At 50.6% G+C, this 6,128-nt stretch overlaps 1 annotated feature.

Annotated features, from left to right (window-relative positions):
• Positions 5,604-5,827: a silencer, noted in NCBI's record as "fragment chr20:572175-572398 (GRCh37/hg19 assembly coordinates)". NCBI's record gives its function as "represses an EF-1alpha promoter that drives an FKBP-Casp9 reporter gene in an ReSE screen in K562 erythroleukemia cells {active_cell/tissue: K562}" and the evidence as "EXISTENCE:reporter gene assay evidence [ECO:0000049][PMID:32094911]".

The raw sequence follows: 6,128 nt of genomic DNA, 5'->3' as shown, positions 1-6,128 counted from the left end.
AAGCAGGCTCTGAGCAAATAATAAAAATGGGATGGGTGCTTCTAAGTTATGTGGGAACGCATGGCTGGGAGACCTGTGTCGTCATTAGGAATGATGCTTCCAAGGTGAGAGAAGGCTTTGCCGAGTGTGAATGGTTCTGCAGCTTCCAGGCCACCCCTGCATCAGTATGAATGATGGGGCACCTGCAGGACCTGGGTCTCCCCTAAACACAACCCCTGAATCCCCAACATATCTCCTTTGAGTGCCCAGAGCAGCCCCATGAAGCTGTCAAAGCAACAGAAGGCTGGTTGGACAGAAGTCGAAAATAAAAGCAAACACTTACCTAGCACCGCCTCAGTGCCAGGCACTGTTCCACGGCCTGTAACTCATTTACTCCTCTACGACCCAGTGAGACAGGCTGTCACTATCCTCACACGGCCATCAAAGGACAGAACCGGGATGTGGACTGAGGCTGGGTCCAGAGCCCACTCTCTTCACCTCCCTGCTCTGCTGCCTCTGTGCCAAATGCTGAGCATCCCGAGCGCCTGGTGGCACCGGCGCGTTGTGGGTGCCTAGCAGATACTCGGGAAGGACCAAGAGGCATTGTTCTGTCTCACTCACTCTGCATAACCACCCTGTAAGGCCAACCTAATCCATTTCAGAGGTGGCACTCAAAGAAAAGCAGTGACCAGCCTGAGGTCGCACGGCTAGGAGTGCAGAGTTGGACCTCAAACCCAGCTCTGTGGATCGTCCCATCTGCAGAAAACCCAGTTTGGAAGATATTGGCAGAATCTTGGGTGTTTTGTTTTGTTTTGTTTTGTTTTTGTTTTTGTTTTTGTTTTCAGACAGAGTCTCGCTCCATCACCCAGGCTGGAGTGCAGTGGCATGATTCGACTCACTGCAACCTCCGTCTCCCAGGTTCAAGCGATTCTCCTGCCTCGGCCTCCAGAGTAGCTGGGATTCAGGAGCGTGCCACCACACCTGGCTAATTTTTGTATTTTTAGTAGAGACAGGGTTTCACCATATTGACCAGGCTGGCCTCAAACTTCTGACCTCAGGAGATCTGCCTGCTGCAGCCTCCCGAAGTGCTGGGATTACAGGCGTGAGCCACCGCGCTTGGCCTGGAAGATATTGGCAAAGAGCCTTTAACCATAGAGAAGAAAGGGTGGGCCCAGGGCTCAGGGAGGGAGAAAAGACACTGACCAACTGGGAACTCTGTGGGAACCTCTCTCACCCCACAACCTCACCCCACCCAGGGGCCTCCCCAGGAAGCAGCCAGGGCTGAGAAGCAATGGGGCCAGGGAGGCGGGCCTTGGATTCCCAAGAAGCAGACCCCCTCGCGCCCCCGGGTGGGAGGGCTAAAGAGCCACCCAGGAGCCAGGCTTGTCTTCTGCTCTCTCCACCCTCACTCTCCTCCCAGAGGCAGCCCCCGCTCCTCCCCACCCCCACCCACCTTCCCTGCCTCTCTCTGCCCTTGCAGCCCAGGCCCACCGCCTCCCCTGCCCCTGGCTTTCAGAAAGCCCTGGAAAGGCTTCCTTCTTTGAGACAGGAAGGTGTCCTCAAGTCTCAGGAAGGAAAAACAGTCAAGCTGAACCCACCAAGACCGTCTCCAAGGGGCCGGGACTGGCGCCTGGCCAGGACTGACATCACCTGGGAACCGCCACAGCCGCAGCTGCAGTGCGCCTCCTGGGGGGACTCGCTTTTGCTATTTAAAAAATAATAATAATAATAATAAAACTTTTCCAGTCTGGTGTTTTTAAATGTGCTTTTTATAGTGGGCCCTGGGGCGTGGGTGTTTTGGTGTCTCCTGTCCGCCTTTTCCTCACGTCCTGATTTCTCACACTACACAATGTGGCCTTTGACCAATTACAGCGAATTCCCGGGGATTCTGGGTGGGATCTCCTTCCAGGCCCTGACCCCCTCAGATGATCTCTTAGCTATCTAGATATGCTGAATTTCTTTCTTTCTCTTTTTTTTTTTTTGTTTTTTGTTTTTTGTTTTCTTTTTTGAGACAGGGTCTCACCGTCGTCCAGGCTGGAGTGCAGTGGTGTGAGCTCGGCTCACTGCAACCTATGCCTCCTGGGCTCAAGCAATCCTCCCACCTCAGCCCCCCAAGTAGCTGGGACTACAGGTGCACGCCACTACACCCAGCTAATTTTTGCATTTTTTTGAGAGATAGGGTCTCACTATGTTGCCCAGGCTGCTCTCAAACTCCTGAGCTCAAGCAATCCACCTGCCTCAGCTTCCCAAAGTGCTAGGGTTACAGCATGAGCCACCACGCCTGGCCAAGATACACTGAATTTCAACTTCAAAAAAATAGGCCGGGCGTGGTGGCTCACGCCTGTCATCGTAGCACTTTGGAAGGCTGAGGCAGGCAGATCATCTGATGTCAAGAGTTCGAGACCAGGCTGGCCAACATGGCGAAAATCCAACTCTACTAAAAATACAAAAATTAGCCAGGTGTGGTGGCGCACAACTGTAATCCCAGCTACGAGGGAGGCTGAGGCAGGAGAATCACTTGAACCCGGGAGGTGGAGGTTGCAGTGAGCCGAGATCGTGCCACTGCACTCCAGCCTGGGTGACAGAGTGAGACTCTGTCTCAAAAATAAATTAATAAATAAAAATAAAAAAAATTTACCCATGGTACCAAATTCAAAAGGCGTCTAAGGCCTCAGATGAAAAATAAGTCTCTCTCCCTGCCCCTTAGTCACCTGGTCTCCATCCCCTAAGGGACCCTCTTTTTTTTTTTTTTTTTTTTTTGAGACAGAGTCTCACACTGTCGCCCAGGCTGGAGTGCAGTGGCGCGATCTCATCTCACTGCAAGCTCCGCCTCCCGGGTTCACGCCATTCCCCTGCCTCAGCCTCCCAAGTAACCGGGACTACAGGCGCCCGCCACTCTTTTTTATTTTATTAAATAAAATCTTCTGTAGTGCTTAATGTGTGCCAGGTACTCTTCTAAGCAATTATCTAATATTAACTCATGTAACCCTCATAAAAACCCTATGAGGTAGGGTTTCCACTGACTATTTAACAGTGAATATTGCCAAAGATTTTTTATGCATATAGAAGCACATCTAGATCTATAATCTTAACCCCTCCCTTCCTAAAAAACATACATAGAAGCTAATTATACATGCTGGCCTGCACCTTGCTGTATTTACTTAAACTATGTCTTGGAAGGCCAGGCAGGGTAGCTCACGCCTGTAATCCCAGCACTTTGGAAGGCTGAGGTGCGAGAATCTCTTTGGCCCAGAAGTTTGAGACCAGCCTGGGCAATATAGTGAGACCTAGTCTCTCCAAAAAAAAATTTTATTTTAATTAGCCAAGCGTGGTGGTGCAAGCCTGTAGTCCTAGCTACTGAGGAGGCTGAGGCGAGAGGATCTCTTGAGCCCCCAGAGATGGAGGCTGTAGTGAACCGAGATCACACTACTGCACTCCAGTCTGGGAGACAGAGTGAGACCCAGACCCTGTCTCTCTCTCTCTGACATAAATATCTTAGGAATCATTTCACATTGGTACATAAAGAGACTCCTCATTCATCTTTATGGCTGCGTATTATTCCCTTCTGTGGAAGGAGGTACCATGATATGATTAACACATCCACTCTTGGTGAATCTTAGGGATATTTCCAATCTCTTCTCCCTGCATTACACTGCAATGGATAGCCAACGTGATCTCTCTAAAGCATAGGTTGAACCGCAACAGTCCAATACTCGAAAACTCTCCATCTTTCCCCCTTATGTGCAGAGGAGCATCTTAAATATAGGAATTATCAAGAGCCCCTCTAAGACCCTGGTAAAAGTAATGGACCAGCCGGGTGCGGTGGCCCACACCTATAATCTCAGCACTTTGGGAGGCCGAGGTGGGCGGATCACTTGAGGTCAGGAGTTCGAGACCAGCCTGGTCAACATGGTGAAACCCTGTCTCTACTAAAAAAACAAAAATTAGTCAAGCGAGGTAGCACACACCTGTAATCCCAGCTACTCAGGAGGCTGAGGCAGAAGAATCGCTTGAACCCAGGAGGCAGAAGTTGCAGTGAGCCGAGATCTCACTACTACACTCCAGCCTGGGTGATAGAGCATGACTCCGTCTCAAAAAAAAAAAAAAAAAAAGTAATGGATCACGGCTGGGCACGATGGCCCACACCTGTACTCCCAACACTTTGGGAGGCCAAGGCAGGAGGATCACTTGAGCACAGGAGTTCGAGACCAGCCTGCACAACACAGGGAGACACCATCTCTTAAAAAAAAAAAAAAATATATATATATATATATAATGCAGACATGGTGATGCATGCCTGTGGTCCCAGCTACTTGGGAAGCTGAGGTGAGAGGATCTCTCGAACCCAGGAGATGGAGGCTGCAGTGAGCTATGACCATACCACTGCACTCCAGCCTGGGTAACAAAGCAAGACCCTGTCAAAAAAAAAAAAAATACAAGTAATGGACCTGCCCCCATGCCCAAAAAGTTCATGGACAATCAATCTTCATATGGAACTCCAGGACTCCTGGAAACCCCGTCCGTGGATGCAGTAATGCCAAGACACCTCCTCCAGCTGCATGCGGTGCCCACGGCTTTGGGCTGCACACTTTGGACTGTCGGCTCTCCTGCTTCTGAGTTATGTAGCCTTAGGAAAATTGATTAATTTCACCATGCCTCAGTTTTCTCATCTCTAAAGTGGGGCTAACACAGTGATTTCCTCCTAATATTATGAAATAGAAATCAGATCCAGATTTGGAAGTGTGTAGCACAGTGCCCGATGCATAGCAAGTCATCAACTTGGGTTGGATATTATTTTCGTTGGTGGAGGTGCTGGTAGTGGTGGTGGGAGTATTGTTTCTGCAAGATAAATTCCAAACTCATTCATTTATTCAATAAACATTTGTTGCGAACATACTATGAACAGGGAACTGGGGGGTTCAGGGAGCTGAGGAAAGGGAAAGGTTTGTACAAAACCAAACCAAACCAATGTGCTTTGCATGCCACATGCTCGGGGCTCTGAAAGTGGAAGATGTGAGTGGTTTAGGGAGCACTGAAGAGGAGCTAGCTAAGCCAGCCTGCGGGTGGGACAGCCAAGGAAGGCTTCACAGAGGAGTGATGCTGGGAGGCTGTTGAAGGATGGGAGGGGGCTGTCTAGGTGAAAAGGAACCCGAGTAGAGCAGAGAGCCATACACCAGCCTTGAGGAGGGCAAGCCTACGGCAGGCAGCAGGGGAACCCCATGGAGGCTCTGAGTGACTAAGTGTGGGCTTTGGGGTGAGGAGAAAAGAAGATAGATGGGGCTGGACTGGAAGTTGGGAGGCTGTGGCTCTCACCAAGGCAAGGGCTGGTCAGAGCTGCGGGTAGAAAGAGACCCTGATGACTGGTGGAGGCTGGGTCGGCAGGAGGCAGGGAGGCCAGTTGGAGGCCATTTGGGTCAGCCATATAAAAACAATGACCTCTCTGGGTGTGGTGGTTCACACCTGTAATCCCAGCACTTTGGGAGGCCAAGGTGGGTGGATCACTTGAGGCCAGGTGTTCAAGACCAGCCTGGCCAACATGGCAAAACCCCATCGTTACTACAAATACAAAAATTAACTGGGTATGGTGGTGCTCGCCTGAATCCCAGCTACTCGGGAGGCTGAGGCATGAGAATGACTTGAACCCAGGAGGCAGAGGCTGTAGCGAGCCGAGATTGTGCCACTGCACTTCAGCTGGGAGACAGAGTGAGACTCTGTCTCAAAAAAAAAAAAAAAAGATGACCTCAGCAAGATAGTGGTCATGAAGATGTGCAGAAGAGGGTAGCAGCCAGGAGAGAGAGATAGTCAGAAGCAGAGGCAAGATTACCAACCTGATTAAGAGCAGGACTGAGTGTGGGCAGAGGGAGAATTGAACAGAAACTCTGATTCATATCCCTTCCCTGCTCAGCCCTCCGATGGCTTCCCATCACTCATACAACCAAATCCAAAGTTCTCTCCTGGCATACAAGCCCCTGCTGATCCCTGTACTCATCTTCCTCCCCCTCTCCCTTTGCTCTCTGGGCTCCAGCCACAGGGGCCCACTTGCTGTCCTTAGAACACACCAGGCCGACTCTGGCCCCACAGGATCTGTCCTGGCAATTCCCTCCACCCAGAATACCTTCCCCCCAATCTCTTCAAGGCTTGCTAATTCC

This window comes from Homo sapiens, chromosome 20 (assembly GCF_000001405.40).
Source record: "Homo sapiens chromosome 20, GRCh38.p14 Primary Assembly".
In the NCBI taxonomy this organism is placed as follows: domain Eukaryota; kingdom Metazoa; phylum Chordata; class Mammalia; order Primates; family Hominidae; genus Homo; species Homo sapiens.
Note: the sequence above shows the minus strand (reverse complement) of the source record. Positions and strands in the feature narration are given on the sequence as shown.